This window comes from Homo sapiens, chromosome 5, assembly GCF_000001405.40.
Source record: "Homo sapiens chromosome 5, GRCh38.p14 Primary Assembly".
Taxonomy (NCBI): domain Eukaryota; kingdom Metazoa; phylum Chordata; class Mammalia; order Primates; family Hominidae; genus Homo; species Homo sapiens.
The window spans coordinates 148,305,155-148,320,895 of NC_000005.10; the positions used below are offsets into that span (position 1 = coordinate 148,305,155).

Here is a 15,741-nt window from a genome sequence, read left to right on the forward strand (position 1 = left end):
CTGATGTTTTGAAGTACATTTACACTGAAGAATGGTTAAACCTAGCTAACTAACAAATGCATTACCACTAATAGTTATCATTTTTGTGGCAAGAGCACATAACATCCACTTTCTTGACATTTTTTCAGAATAAAAATGAATATATCATCATTAACTCTAGTCACCCTGCTGTATAATAGTTCTGCTGAAATGTATTTCTCCTAACTGTAATTATGTCTCCTTTGACCAATGTCACCCCATCTCCACCTTCTTCCTAATAACTCTAGCCTCTGGTATAGGCAATGTCCTACACTTGCTTCCCTGGCCTTCTCCCAAGCAAGTATCTATCTCTCTCCAAGCTGTGCTGCCTGGGGTTAGAGGAGGGGGTTGTGGGTAATATAAAACTGTCTTTTCTACCCTCTTCAATGTATATTTTCTTCTTATTATTTTTAAACTAGGTACTCTTACCTGGTTTATTTAGCTCTTGTCAAGATTTTTCCTGTATGGGTAATTGTTACAAATCAATTTTTCTGTTCAGGGACAATCACTGGAGAATCCTACTCTGCCATCATGCTCTGCTCCTTCCTAGTAAACATGATTTTTACCAATTGGAGCTGGGAGCTGTGTGTGTGTGTGTGTGTGTCTGTGTGCATGTGCTCATGTGCACGTGTGCGTAAAGAGTCTTCATCCAGATACTGTGAGGTCCCCTAGGAACAACATAAATTAAGAAAAAAAAATAGTTGTTACTGTTCATCCAAATCACCTTGTTCCATGATTGGAGCTATTTAGTCTCAATGGCCCAAAAAGAAGTGAAGGTATTCAAAGCATAAGATCCCTGGATGTGCTAACTCCCTGCTCTCATGAGATGCAGGGAGCAAAGTCTTGCCAGACACAAAGTCAAAATGCAAATATCCAGATTCCTAGGTCACTGTGCCCTCAGTGGTCACAAGGACATGATCATAATCAGGGCTATCTTGAAAAATAAAAAAGAAAAGAGTTGGGATGTGAAGGGGCCATAAAGGGAAAGAAGAAGAGACAAATCTAAGCCAGTGATTTTTAAACTGTCAAAAGACCGCTTGAGAGTGTTCAGTGGTTTGTTTGCTGGATGTCAAGAAGAAAGGCACCCTGGTGGGGGTGGGTGAGAGGTGCTGGTGAAGCAATGAGGAGGGAAAACCAGAATCAATTAATAAAGTTCCACCCTCCCCTTCCCACCTAGCCTCACTCCTCAGCCTTATTTACTGTATAAATTAGTGTACCATGGATGGCTTTTTAACTCGAAAATGTGAACTACCAATCTAGGCTAATCTTACTAGATTTAGAGGAAGTAGAGAGCTCACATTGGAGAAGGGATTGTCACAGCGTTGCTCCCTAGATAGATGGGGATGGGGGACAGGATAGGAACCCTTGGATCCTGGCTCTCAGTCCTCCCCTCTCTCCACTGGAGTGAACCCTCTTTCCAGATGATCCTCACAGATGAAAATGTCACACACTCTGGCCCAGTGTTCAGCTCCCTCTGCTGCTCACTCAAAACTTAGCTGTCCTTCCTGACTACTCTGATTCTGCCAGTTACACTCCTATTATTTCAGTGTCCAATGAGTTTACAAATCTACCTTTTAGGTTTAGATTTAAAGGTAATACACAGGAGTGATTAAAAAGAATCTTTAAGCTCTTTACCTTAAACTAGTCATATCTCTTAAGTTCCCATTATTGCAGCTAAATAGCAGGGAGAATAGCCATTCCTATTTCCTAAGATTGTTTTAAGTATGAAATGAGATAATGCACACAGCAGGTGTAGTGCAGTTCTAGCACTTCATAAGTGCTGAATATATGGTTAATTTTCTTATTATAACAGTCCATCCTTAACGCCACTATTCTATACCTGGATTCCTGCACAGCTACAGTGCTGGCTTCCCTATTTCCCTCCAGCTAACTAACCCAAAAACTCTTCATACAGACCTTGCTCCAATTTAATTCCCTCACCCTTCTCTAACCCTCTAATGAGTTATCCCACTCTTCCTTGTGACACCCCAAATCTATAAGGGAATAAATCCCCAATACTCTCAATTTTTTATATTAATTTTTTATGCTTTTCTTCCAAACCTTTTCCCATTTGCCCTGAGAATACTCGCTGGTAGCACTTGTGGCTGCAGCATTTACCCCAAGAAGAAGGAGGTGACAATGCTGTCAACATTCCACAATTGTCTTAGTCCATTCTCACAATGCTATAAAGAACTACCTGATACTGGGTAATTTATGAAGAAAAGAGGTTTAATTGACCACAGTTATGCAGGCTTAACAGGAAGCATGACTGGGAGGCTTCAGAAAACTTACAATCATGGCGGAAGGCAAAGGGGAAGCAAGTACCTTCTTCTAATGGTGGCCAGAGAGAGGGGGAGGGGGGAAGTGCCATACACTTTTAAACCATCAGATCTCATGGGAACTCACTCACTATCATGAGAACAGCAAGGGGAAATCTGCCCCCATGATCCAATCACCTCCTACCAGGCCCCTCCTCCAACACATGGAAATTACAATTCGAGATGAAATTTGGGTGGGGACACAGAGCCAAACCATATCAACCATGATACTGTGATTGAAGTAGACAGCAGAAATGGAAAGAAAACTAAGGAGCCATGTGCCATTGTGGATTATAACAAGAATATGGGAGCGGTGGATTTGGCTGATCAGATGCTCACTTCTTAACCAACTGAGATCAAATGTTTGGTATAAGAAATTATTTCACTACCTTCTAAAAATTACAGTGCTGGACTCCTACATCCTGTTCAAGAAGGACAATCCTGAGCACACAATTAGCCATGTAAACTTCAGACTGACATCGATTGAAAGAATGCTGGAAAAATATCACAGACCATAGCTGGAATATCTTTGAGGTCGTCCATGCTCTGATGATGTCACTCTTCTTTGCCTGTCTGGAAGACATCTCCCCAAGAGCACACCACCAACATCAGGGGGGTGGAATCCAACTGGTCACTGCAAGTTTGCTGCTTACACAATGACAAGCATAGCAAGATCTGGAGAGAAACGGAATATTTTTGTGTATAATATGATGTTCTGCTTTGTGTTGTTCTGTGCTTTGAAATTTACCAAATTAAAAAAAAACTACTAAATACTGATCATCATTTACATTTCTGTTACATTAGGATTAGAGATAAGTTCTGTTTAGAAATAACTCCAAGAACAGTTTTTGTATTTTATTTTCACATTGAAAATTAGATTTACTTCAGCCTCAAAGAGCATGTTTATGTAAAAATAAATGAATGCCGGCAGCAAGCTGCACTTTTTTTTTCTAAATGGGAAAAGAGCTAATTTTATTCTGCCTTCTTCATGATGAAACCAGGACCATAGTTATTCTCTCTTACAAGGCCTCAAGATTTTCTCCTTGGAGAACTATAAGGATAAATGAAAAAACTATCCTGAAATGGACTGCTTTTATCTTCACAGGCTTTGACTCTCATTTTAAAAGCCTCCTCCATAATTTGTGCCTCAGTATCTGGCTGGAAAATTTCCTCTCTATGTAAATGGCTTCCAAAACCCAAACCAACCCCTCTCCTGATCCCTTGACCTCACCTTTCCTCATCCTTTTCAATCGAGAGACGTTTATCTCCACCCACTGGATACACCCTGAGGATCATTATCTCAGCCCCACCCCTGAGAAATAGTATCCGACAACTTGATTCCTAGCCCTGTCTCAATAAACAATTGTTCTTATTTCCTATACCTACCACATTTTGCCTAAACCTTGATCTCTAAACACTTAAATGCCTGTACCTTGTGTAGCCCATCAGAAACTTCTGGAACATTTAACTCTCTTTCAAGCTTTGCCACCTCCTAATGCAGTCTTTATGGTATCTTCAAGCCTCTGATGTATCCATTCCCTATCTATAAAATCACTGTTCCCCATTTCTCACTCTGTGTCGCACAAACTTTGGGAGAAATACGAGGAATAGTACTAATTGGGCCTTCTAAAATCTAGTTCTAACTTGTCCAGTGGCCATTAATCTTTAGATCCATTGCTGACTATCTGACATGCTGCCAAGTCTTCTATCATCTGTCTCAAGCTCCCAAACGAACCCAGTTCTCCCAGTGCAAAAAAGCAAACCAGCACTGAACAACTAGAGCCTACCTTACAGTGGGCTTCCCCCATCTCTCCTTCCTTACCCTTCAAAATATGCCTGTCTCTACATTTATCCACTCTTCTCTCTCTCATGTGTCAGAGAAAATGGTTTTTCATCTGTGCTCTTAACCTTATTTTCTATCTTTCTACATGCATCTAATTAGCCACTCTCTACCATGTATGTAAAATTTCTTCTTCTCTTTGGTTTTAAGACATGCTCAGTCTATCCTAGATCTTTCTGTAGCCTCAGCTTCTTCCATTCCTCCTTTGACTATCAAAAATTTAAAAAAAAATCTGTGATCCTATCTTTTACCACCATTTTGACCACCCTTTGACCCTATTCCCACTCCTCTTTGATAAAAGCACATTTTCAAACTGCAATAAAGATACCTCATCTTGAAACACAATGGCTTTTTCTTAGGATTCATTCTTTTCAAACATTCATGGCAAACAATGAAACCTACAATTACCTCTCCTTATTGGAACCTTCACTTTGCTTCTTTTCCTTGACTGAACTCAGCAGTTTCCTCCATTAATTGTATCATGATCCTTGGGAGATTACTTAAATCCTCTGAGTCTTAACTTACTCACTGGCAAAACTAGGGTAACAAAAACTCCTTCCTTAATGAGTTGTTATAAAGAGCACATTCCATATTATTAGCTACCATATATCAAGATCTAATTATGAGCTTGGTGCCCTAATACACAAATACATACAAACCACACAAGCATACCACACAGACACCTCACAGACATGCATCCATAAGAGATTATATGCACAGTTGACCCTTGAATAAAATTGGTCTGAACTGCACATGTTGACTTATACATAGATTTTCTTCTACCTCTGCCACTCCTGAGACAGTAAAATCAACTTTTCCTCTTTCTTCTTCTCCTTAGTCTACTCAAGATGAGGACAACAAAGATGAAAACTTTTATGATGATCCATTTCCACTTAATTAATGTAAATATATTTTATCTTCCTTACAATTTTCTTAATAACATTTTCTTTTTTCTAGCTTACTTTGTTGTAGGAATACAGTGTATAATACATGTAACATACAAAACGTGTAGATTAACTGTTTATGTTATTAATAAGGTCAACAGTAGGATATTAAGGATATTAATAGTTAAATTATTGAAAAATAAAAAAATTGTATGTTAATTTTTCAACTGTGGTGGTGTCAGCACCCCGGACGCCATGTTGTTCAAGAGTTGAATGTATAATGTGTGTGTGTGAGAGAGTGTGTGTCTGTAAAATCTAATTTAACACTCAAAACAACCTATGAGGTAAATATTATTTCTGTCATAAGGATGAAGACACTAAAGTATCAGATGTTAACCTAAATACTAAAAGACACACAGTCAACATTTTTTAGAAGAAAGATTCTAAATGGGATCTACTCAATGCCCATGCTCTTAACTACTAGATTACATTGCCTCCCAAACAGATATAGGAGTAAAATATTAGAGATTATGCAATATCATTTATTAGTCACTTAATATGTCTTGTAGATGCTAGTTTTAGAATGTACTAAAATAAACCTGCCAAGCAGTAAACTAGTGGGACAGTCTACTGCCTTCCCCCAGGTCTTCATACATATGTCCTTAAACTCAATAAGCAAACTGCAGCTATTTGGACAGTTGTGCATGGACAATACAGTTTACAATCTAATGTCAGCAACTCATAGCATTAACTCTTGGTTTGTAAATAATAATAACAATCACAATAATATTATTAAATGCACTGTGCTTTAGAGCAGACTTTTATGTATATGATTCCAATTATGTGAACTCTATTGTGGCTAACAACAGGCCCTATTGGACTGGGATGAAACTCAGTCTCTGGGATGGTCTCTGTTGTTTGCCAACTATTCTAGTTCTTCATCCAACCTTCAGGTCAGGGAACAGGTCAGGACAAGGTAAGACTGTGTATTAATCTGTTTTCAAGCTGCTGATAAAGACATACCCAAGATTGGGTAATTTATAAAGAAAAAGAAGTTTAATGGGCTCACAGTTCCACATGGCTGAAGAGGCCTCACAATCATGGCAGAAAGTGAATGGCATGTCTTACATGGCAGCAGGCAAGAGAGAATGAGAGCCAAGTGCAAGGGGAAACCCCTTATAAAACCATCAGATCTTGTGAGACTTATTCACTTCCATGAGAACAGTATGGGGGAAACTGCCTCCATGATTCAATTATCTCCCACCAGGTCCCTCCCACAACATATGGGAATTATGGGAGCTACAATTCAAGATGGGATTTGGGTGGAGACACAGCTAAACCACATCAGATTGATTGCACTCACTCCATACATAACAAAGCATGTGATGGCCACGAGACCATGAGGGGAAGTGACAGCAGTATTGCTCTGGGCTGGAAGTTTTAATTGCTAAAATGAGAACTCCTTGAGAACGAACTCAACTTCACTTCACCTTGACTACAGTGTTCCAAATAGTGATGACTCTGCCCACTTGGCATCCACAGTGAAGGCAATGTAGCATGAACAGCTGACTACCATACAAGTGTAGCTTGAGTAAGAAACAAAGTTTTGTTTTAATTCACAGAAATCTTGTGGTTACATGTTATCACGACATAACCAAGCCTTTTGGATTGATAAAGGCTCACAGCATATAACGACTTATCCAAGATTATACAGGTAGAAAATATCAGAAGTATTATGTTAGTGCTTTTCTCCATACCTCATAAATGCTAATGTCAGTGTTCCTTCCATTAGGTCCCAGTTTGCTTCATTGGTTCATTGCCTCAAAAATAAACAATATTTCCCCAGGTGCCAAGATATAAACGTAGGTGTAATCAGTCTAATCGGGGTTTAATAGATTCCAGTTTCGTAAAATAAAGGAGGTTTGAGATTTTCACTTATTTCATAACTAAGTCAAGAAGCTCATACTTAGTCTCTTCTAGTTCATGAAGTTTAGAATTCTTAACAGTCCCACCTTTGGGGAAGATAGAAAATACTTCTTACCTCAAATAATCAAATCATTGGTCAGATAAGAAGTGGCAGTTCAGTAACAAGGACTGTAACACAGCCCAGGGTGTGGCACCGTGCTTTGAGATCCTCTGGATGACCTCACAGGAAAGGCGGAGAAACCAAGCCTTGCATATATATAAACATGACCCCTTACCTGGGATATGGTCGATGCAGCTGTAGTGACAATCTCAGAGCAGCTTCTACACCACAGCCATTTCCAGCATGAAGATCACTGGGGGTCTCCTTCTGCTCTGTACAGTGGTCTATTTCTGTAGCAGCTCAGGTAAGTTAAGGTCAGACAGTGCCCTATATAGCCATTAAGATTGTTTTCATAAATAATCCCTCCTGCGATGTGAGCATCTCAGAAACATCTGGTTGTAAGAATTTAAAGTGTACTGGTTTGTAATAGGATCTTATGTTCCATCTGGAGTTTGAGAGACTTGAGTCCAATGTCTTCACTTTCAAGGATTCTTATTTGCATCCATAGAACAAAAAATGATCTAATTTCTCTGTAAGTCTTCCATTTCTATGTTCATATGGACACTGGAAGTTGTCAGTGTTATTAGATATACCATTTCTTAGTGCAAAGATACAGAAAAACTTGGATGTCTTCCCAAATCAGTTTGGGGGGATTAAAATAAAACACAAGTCTCAAAAAGCCAAGGGTCAACAATTAGACTTTTATACTGTGAAAAATTAATTAAAGTGTTTCCAACCACATAAAGACATTCAATTGCATTTCTTTATGTCAATTGGGAAGGAAAGGATATCAGAGATGATCCTTCAGGCTCTTAGGAGTGATGATTTTAATACTTCTTATTGCTACTTGACTTTGGCCATTATCAAAAACACTATGAGGTTCAGAAAACATTCCATGATCAATAAATAGAGGAAATTTTTATAATTCTCTTACCTAAACCAAGGGTTAACCTAACCCATTGGCCATTCAACTTCCTCAGCAAACAACTAGGATTTTGCATAAGGATGGAGAGTGTGCTGAATCTCATTGCTAAAGGAAATGTAGAGTAATTATATAGGATGAAACTTATATTAATTAATGAGATTTAAAGTTTGCTTTACTTTTAACATCTTCATCTGTATCTCTTTTTCAGAAGCTGCTAGTCTGTCTCCAAAAAAAGTAAGTATGTTGAATAACATTTTAATGTCAATAACTATTGACTGTCATTTAGTCAACATATATGTAGGATAAATTATGTTTAGGGGGATTCGAGAGGGAGGCAAACACACATGGAGAAATGGTACCTGTTCTCCAGAAGGCAACTAAACAAATATGACATACATATAAACAACCATATTTTAAAAATGTTTTTTAAAAATGCCAGAGTTAAAGAAGGGAGAACCGCCTTCCAGCTGAGAAGTTGGTGATGTTTTCATAAAAGGCATAACGTGTAAAAGGCAGAGCAAAAGTACCCTGATAAATTGCACAGGCTCTAGATTCAAATCCTAACTCTACTACTTACCAGCATTTATCTTCAACAAGTTATCTCTATTTCTAAGCTTTAATTTTCACATTTGTAAAGAGAGGTAATAGTAGAATTTACTCTAGTTGTTCTGAAGATTAAACAAGAAAATTCATGCAAGATTTAAGTTTAACGCCTAGCCCAGAAATGCCCAGCAATTGTTAACTGAGTGTAGCAGAAAAAAATAGAATACCAGTAGTGCTAGTATTTGTCATAGTGATAACACTAGTACTTAAAGAAGTGGCCAAGCAACATCTGAATATCTGAGCTGGGACTTCCAGCCCTTGTAGTATATCTAATAGTGGCCTAGCTTGGGGTCTGGGAGAAAAACAGGACATTTGCTTGTATATGACACAGGTGGACTGCAGCATTTACAAGAAGTATCCAGTGGTGGCCATCCCCTGCCCCATCACATACCTACCAGTTTGTGGTTCTGACTACATCACCTATGGGAATGAATGTCACTTGTGTACCGAGAGCTTGTGAGTACCTCATAAGAAGAAAATGAGATCTGGAGTCAGTGCTCTCTACTACAAACGCTTCTACTTTCCAGGATCCAGCTTAAATCTCTATAAGCTGTAATTTATAATTATTCCCACCCAGAACAGCAGGTGGGGATAGAAAACTGACTGTTGCACAATCAGACAGGGTAGAGTCACCTGCTCTGCCAGCTTGGACTAGTCCCATCCCATCACAGAACCTCCAGTTCCTGTCTGTCAATTGTGAGAATCCAGTAAGGCTGTGGATTCTCAAACTGCTGTCCCCAGAGCACAGAGGTTCTATAGAGGCAAGTCAGGAGTCACCATTAGGGTTAAAGGGACTATTTGGGGTAGTTGACAACATAAAGTTCAGCTTTGACTATTTTAAGTAGTGGAGTGCCATACAATATCATGCTTGAAGAAAGGGCCCTGAATCCCCACCCCCCATAAAATAATTGAAAACTACTACACTACCTGACTTAGATTCTAAGATAATTAACATCCTCACTGCAGCTTGATTCTTAGACAAAGTGTCCCTAGAGGTTCTTTATCTTCGAATTTCTAGAGGCTCTAAGTATCTGTAGCTTTAAGGGGGGAATAAGGCTACAAAAATGATTACTTTTCCTTTATCTAAAATAAGGGATGCAAGCTGTCAGTATTTGGACCAGAATACCACGGACATGTTTTGTTTAGGTATTTTCTTTGGCCCACAAAATGTTTTTGCAGAAATGTAGCTAGGCAGATGTCACTTCTTTGGTACAAGACATGCAAATTACACTTAACTGTCTCATAGCAAGTCTGCTGTGATCATCGTTAACTCTTTTAGGCCACTGGATTTTGGACACTTAGATCTTGCGTTTTCATCTTTGTGATTATCTTAACAAGTGAGAACAACAAGCCCTTAGCCCAAAAGGACATGTCTATGTATTTATTCCTATTTGGGAGGTTTTATTTCACAAAAGGGAAAATTCTGTAACATAGGCAGACTGGGAAACTAGCCCTTGGCCAGGAAACTAGCTGTTTTCAAGGGACACTGGAGAGAAACATGATGAAAGTCCTCCTCACTAATGCAGGATCCAGCTTCGTCAAAGGACTTGCTGACCAGGAAAAGCTGAGAGACAGGCCCTCTCAATTTTGTCAGAGTACTCTTTCTTTGTTGTGTTAAGACACTGGGTGGTCAGTGGGGCTCTGGAATCAGAGGAGGCAGCAGAGGGGTGGAATTATCACTGGACTAGGGAAATTCTGCTTCTTCCTCTGTCAGAATGTGCTTTGGCAAGGTCATTCATTTTCTGAGACTCAGTTTCCTTATCTGTAAAATGAGGTGCTGCCTCATAATCTCTATAGTTCCTTTCAGCTCTAACATTACATAAAATTTCCTCTTGTGCTAATGAATCTTGTGAACTGTGTCTTCCCTTAGGAAAAGTAATGGAAGAGTTCAGTTTCTTCACGATGGAAGTTGCTAAATTCTCCATGGACATAGAGAGAAAGGAATGATATTCTCATCATCATCTTCATCATCCCAGGCTCTGACTGAGTTTCTTTCAGTTTTACTGATGTTCTGGGTGGGGGACAGAGCCAGATTCAGAGTAATCTTGACTGAATGGAGAAAGTTTCTGTGCTACCCCTACAAACCCATGCCTCACTGACAGACCAGCATTTTTTTTTTAACACGTCAATAAAAAAATAATCTCCCAGAAAGTTTATCTTTGCTTCTGTTTGTGTTTGTTTCTTAGATCGGGGTATAAAATAACACAATTATAAAAGAAAATTGAAAAACACACAAGTCTTGATGTTTAGGAAATACTTTTATACAAAGAATCCCAATCAGCTTCCAAGAAACACATGCACACCACACACACAAACACACACACACGATACATAGACATACACACACACACAAATGCCAGTGAACACCACACCTTCTCCTGGAGTCTTTATCCACTAGCGACAAGTCTATGTACTATACTGTTGCTTTACATTGGTCTCTTTTTTTAAAAGACCCTTAAAAGAGAACCTCTCTTGTTCCAAGAAGTCATTTCTGGAAGGGAAGTTTTTCTTCCTATTCCTTTCCAGAAACATACCACAATTTCTCATAGGCCAGCTCTTCTAGAGTGCTGATGGGAAAGCCACTGCTTCAACAGGAAGCATGTCCATTGTTGTAGAGATCTGATTGTTGAGATGTTCTACTTGTCTAGAATTGAAGACTACATTCATGAGGCTATCAACCATCAGCGCCAGTGAGACTATATAACAAAGAAGTTCACCCTTTTTGCCAATTAACAGAATTTTCATTATTTAAAAATGAATATTCTGTCTCCATTGAAATTTATTTTCTCCAGGATAAAAATCTCTGGTTAATTCAACCCTTTTTTCTCAAGTGTTATTTCCCTTATAATATTTCTATCCTGGACCATACTCCTTGGATCTGTTACAATTAGGCATTGTCCATCTTAAAATATGTTAGTATGTTGTCCAAAAATAGACTAATCACCAAAATTTTTTTTTTCCGACAGATACAGAGAAATTAAAACTACCACCTCTCTACTAAACCTTCCCTTCTATTAATGCAGCTGAATACGCCAAGGATCATGTTTACAATATAGAAACATCATTAGAATAAAATCTGACGTGTTTGCAAATACCAGGCTTGCTGCATAAGAATAATGAGGAATGAACTAAAATAAAGATGCCAGGACTCCACCCTACAAATTATCATTCAATAGAACTGAAGAAAGCCCTAAACAATCTAATTTTTTTTAATTGGTATATATTCAGAATTAGAAAATTCAGAGATAGATGTCTGACCCAGCTCAATACAAGAGGGTCCCGGTTGAAAGCAATATCACTACTGCATGAGATTAACAGGAAATCTCTCTTAGAGAAGGTGAAATTTCATTTGAGCCCAGCATGGCAGAACTGTGGTTATTCACCAGAGTCCTTCCTGGCAAGTGAGAATGGAACCCAACCTCTACTTCTCTTACTAACTGGCTCATAACAACTCACCCTCTCCCAGCAGCCTCTGTGCAGATCCATGCAAATAGGTCTATTTGGACAAGAATTTAGCCGGAACATTCACTCAACACAGTATCCACAGCAAAGAAACAGTCTTCTCCAAGTTGTTGGTCACATCCTGCTTGTCCTCATTCTGGTATTTTGGTTTTCCTCTGGTAAGCATCTGGTTATTAATGAGCACTCCCTCTCTGTCATCCATAAAGTCTACGACCATACTTAGGGTAAAAAATGGTAAGTGCTAAATCACATCACAAAATTGTCTGATGGAAAATGGAAAATAGTTCTTAAATTGACTACGAATTTTAAAAACTTCTTGTCTGCAAATAATTTTAAAGAGCAAATTTTGATCCTTTTCACTGTTTTCTTCTTTTTTAGATATTCTTAGTGAGACCAAACATTAGTTTGAGTCTGTATATGATTTATCAAGTTTTGTAAAAGTTGTTTTAAAGCTATTGCATTCATTTAAATTTTTAAATCTTGTTTTCAAACAGAATTTTATCATTTTAAAACATTTATTTGTATTTTTTTAAATTTTATTATTATTATACTTTAAGTTTTAGGGTACATGTGCACAATGTGCAGGTTAGCTACATATGTATACATGTGGCATGCTGGTGTGCTGCACCCATTAACTCGTCATTTAGCATTAGGTATATCTCCTAACGCTATCCCTCCCCGCTCCCCCCACCCCACAACAGTCCCCAGAGTGTGATGTTCCCCTTCCTGTGTCCATGTGTCCTCATTGTTCAATTCCCACCTATGAGTGACAATATGCGGTGTTTGGTTTTTTGTTCTTGCAATAGTTTACTGAGAATGATGATTTCCAATTTCATCCACGTCCCTACAAAGGACATGAACTCATCATTTTTTATGGCTGCATAGTATTCCATGGTGTATATGTGCCACATTTTCTTAATCCAGTCTATCGTTGTTGGACATTTGGGTTGGTTCCAAGTCTTTGCTATTGTGAATAATGCCGCAATAAACATACGTGTGCATGTGTCTTTATAGCAACATGATTTATAGTCCTTTGGGTATATACCCAGTAATGGGATGGCTGGGTCAAATGGGATTTCTAGTTCTAGATCCCTGAGGAATCACCACACTGACTTCCACAATGGTTGAACTAGTTTACAGTCCCACCAACAGTGTAAAAGTGTTCCTATTTCTCCACATCCTCTCCAGCACCTGTTGTTTCCTGACTTTTTAATGATTGCCATTCTAACTGGTGTGAGATGGCATCTCATTGTGGTTTTGATTTGCATTTCTCTGATGGCCAGTGATGGTGAGCATTTTTTCATGTGTTTTTGGCTGCATAAATGTCTTCTTTTGAGAAGTGTCTGTTCATGTCCTTCGCCCACTTTTTGATGGGGTTGTTTTTTTCTTGTAAATTTGTTTGAGTTCATTGTAGATTCTGGATATTAGCCCTTTGTCAGATGAGTAGGTTGCAAAAATTTTCTCCCATTTTGTAGGTTTCCTGTTCACTCTGATGGTAGTTTCTTTTGCTGTGCAGAGGCTCTTTAGTTTAATTAGCTCCCATTTGTCAATTTTGGCTTTTGTTGCCATTGCTTTTGGTGTTTTAGACATGAAGTTCTTGCCCATGCCTATGTCCTGAATGGTAATGCCTAGGTTTTCTTCTAGGGTTTTTATGGTTTTAGGTCTAACATGTAAGTCTTTAATCCATCTTGAATTAATTTTTGTATAAGGTGTAAGGAAGGGATCCAGTTTCAGCTTTCTACATATGGCTAGCCAGTTTTCCCAGCACCATTTATTAAATAGGAAATCCTTTCCCCATTGCTTGTTTTTGTCGGGTTTTTCAAAGATCAGATAGTTGTAGATATGTGGCGTTATTTCTGAGGGCTGTGTTCTGTTCCATTGATCTATATCTCTGATTTGGTACCAGTACCATGCTTTTTTGGTTACTGTAGCCTTGTAGTATAGTTTGAAGTCAGGTAGCATGATGCCTCCAGCTTTGTTCTTTTGGCTTAGGATTGACTTGGTGATGCGGGCTCTTTTGTGGTTCCATATGAACTTTAAAGTAGTTTTTTCCAATTCTGTGAAGAAAGTCATTGGTAGCTTGATGGGGATGGCATTGAATCTGTAAATTACCTTGGGCAGTATGGCCATTTTCACGATATTGATTCTTCCTACCCATGAGCATGGAATGTTCTTCCATTTCTTTGTATCCTCTTTTATTTCATTGAGCAGTGGTTTGTAGTTCTCCTTGAAGAGGTCCTTCACATCCCTTGTAAGTTGGATTCCTAGGTATTTTATTCTCTTTGAAGCAATTGTGAATGGGAGTTCACTCATGATTTGGCTCTCTGTTTGTCTATTATTGGTGTGTAAGAATGCTTGTGATTTTTGTACATTGATTTTGTATCCTGAGACTTTGCTGAAGTTGCGTATCAGCTTAAGGAGATTTTGGGCTGAGACAATGGGGTTTCTTAGATATACAATCATGTCATCTGCAAACAGGGACAATTTGACTTCCTCTTTTCCTAATGGAATGCCCTTTATTTCCTTCTCCTGCCTAATTGCCCTGGCCAGAACTTCCAACACTACGTTGAATAGGAGTGGTGAGAGAAGGCATCCCTGTCTTGCCAGTTTTCAAAGGGAATACTTCCAGTTTTTGCCCATTCAGTATGATATTGGCTGTGGGTTTATCATAGATAGCTCTTATTATTTTGAGATACATCCCATCAGTACCTAATTTATTGAGAGTTTTTAGCATGAAGGGTTGTGGGGGCTGGAGCCAAGATGGCTGAATAGGAACAGCTCCGGTCTACAGCTCCCAGCGTGAGCGACGCAGAAGATGGGTGATTTCTGCATTTCCATCTGAGGTACCGGGTTCATCTCACTAGGGAGTGCCAGACAGTGGGCGCAGGACAGTAGGTGCAGGGCACCGTGCGCGAGCCGAAGCACGGAGAGGCATTGCCTCGCTCAGGAAGCGCAAGGGGTCAGGGAGTTCCCTTTCCTAGTCAAAGAAAGGGGTGACAGATGGCACCTGGAAAATCGGGTCACTCCCACCTGAATACTGCGCTTTTCCGATGGGCTTAAAAAACGGCGCACCACGAGATAATATCTCGCAGCTGGCTCGGAGGGTCCTACGGCCACGGAGTCTCGCTGATTGCTAGCACAGCAGTCTGAGATCAAACTGCAAGGCGGCAGCGAGGCTGGGGGAGGGGCGCCCGCCATTGCCCAGGCTTGCTTAGGTAAACAAAGCAGCTGGGAAGCTCTAACTGGGTGGAGCCCACCACAGCTCAAGGAGGCCTGCCTGCCTCTGTAGGCTCCACCTCTGGGGGCAGGGCACAGACAAACAAAAAGACAGCAGTAACCTCTGCAGACTTAAACGTCCCTGTCTGACAGCTTTGAAGAGAGCAGTGGTTCCCCCAGCACGCAGCTGGAGATCTGAGAACGGGCAGACTGCCTCCTCAAGTGGGTCCCTGACCCCTGACCCCAGAGCAGCCTAACTGGGAGGTACCCCCCAGTAGGGACAGACTGACACCTCACATGGCCGGGTACTCCTCTGAGACAAAACTTCCAGAGGAATGATCAGACAGCAGCATTCGCGGTTCACGTGATCATTCGCGGTTCACGTGATCATTCGCGGTTCACGAAAATCTGCTGTTCTGCAGCCACCGCTGCTGGTACCCAAGCCAACA

At 39.8% G+C, this 15,741-nt stretch overlaps 1 protein-coding gene, 1 long non-coding RNA gene and 1 pseudogene across 2 annotated transcripts in view; 2 read left to right on the top strand and 1 right to left on the bottom strand.

Annotated features, from left to right (window-relative positions):
- The window catches only part of FBXO38-DT (FBXO38 divergent transcript), a 115,544-nt gene that overhangs the window by 36,848 nt on the left and 62,955 nt on the right, over positions 1-15,741 (bottom strand). Inside the window, exon 3 of the long non-coding RNA NR_105057.1 lies at positions 2,850-3,011. This is a non-coding gene — a long non-coding RNA (FBXO38 divergent transcript). The remainder of the gene's footprint in view (positions 1-2,849; positions 3,012-15,741) is intronic.
- Positions 2,557-3,096, top strand: PGBD4P3 (piggyBac transposable element derived 4 pseudogene 3; annotated as a pseudogene).
- SPINK7 (serine peptidase inhibitor Kazal type 7) lies at positions 7,269-10,765 on the top strand. The gene is made up of 4 exons (NM_032566.3): positions 7,269-7,390; positions 8,220-8,245; positions 8,946-9,070; positions 10,485-10,765. The coding sequence occupies exons 1-4, from the start codon at positions 7,330-7,332 to the stop codon at positions 10,528-10,530; spliced, it is 258 nt and encodes an 85-aa protein (NP_115955.1). The 5' UTR covers positions 7,269-7,329; the 3' UTR covers positions 10,531-10,765.

Bases quoted from the DNA above. Each gene is read 5' to 3' on its own strand.
- SPINK7 (NM_032566.3), top strand. From the start codon at position 7,330: ATGAAGATCACTGGGGGTCTCCTTCTGCTCTGTACAGTGGTCTATTTC. The intron at 7,391-8,219 runs GTAAGTTAAGGT...TCTCTTTTTCAG, and splicing joins CTATTTCTGTAGCAGCTCAG to AAGCTGCTAGTCTGTCTCCA. The intron at 9,071-10,484 runs GTGAGTACCTCA...GTCTTCCCTTAG, and splicing joins CACTTGTGTACCGAGAGCTT to GAAAAGTAATGGAAGAGTTC.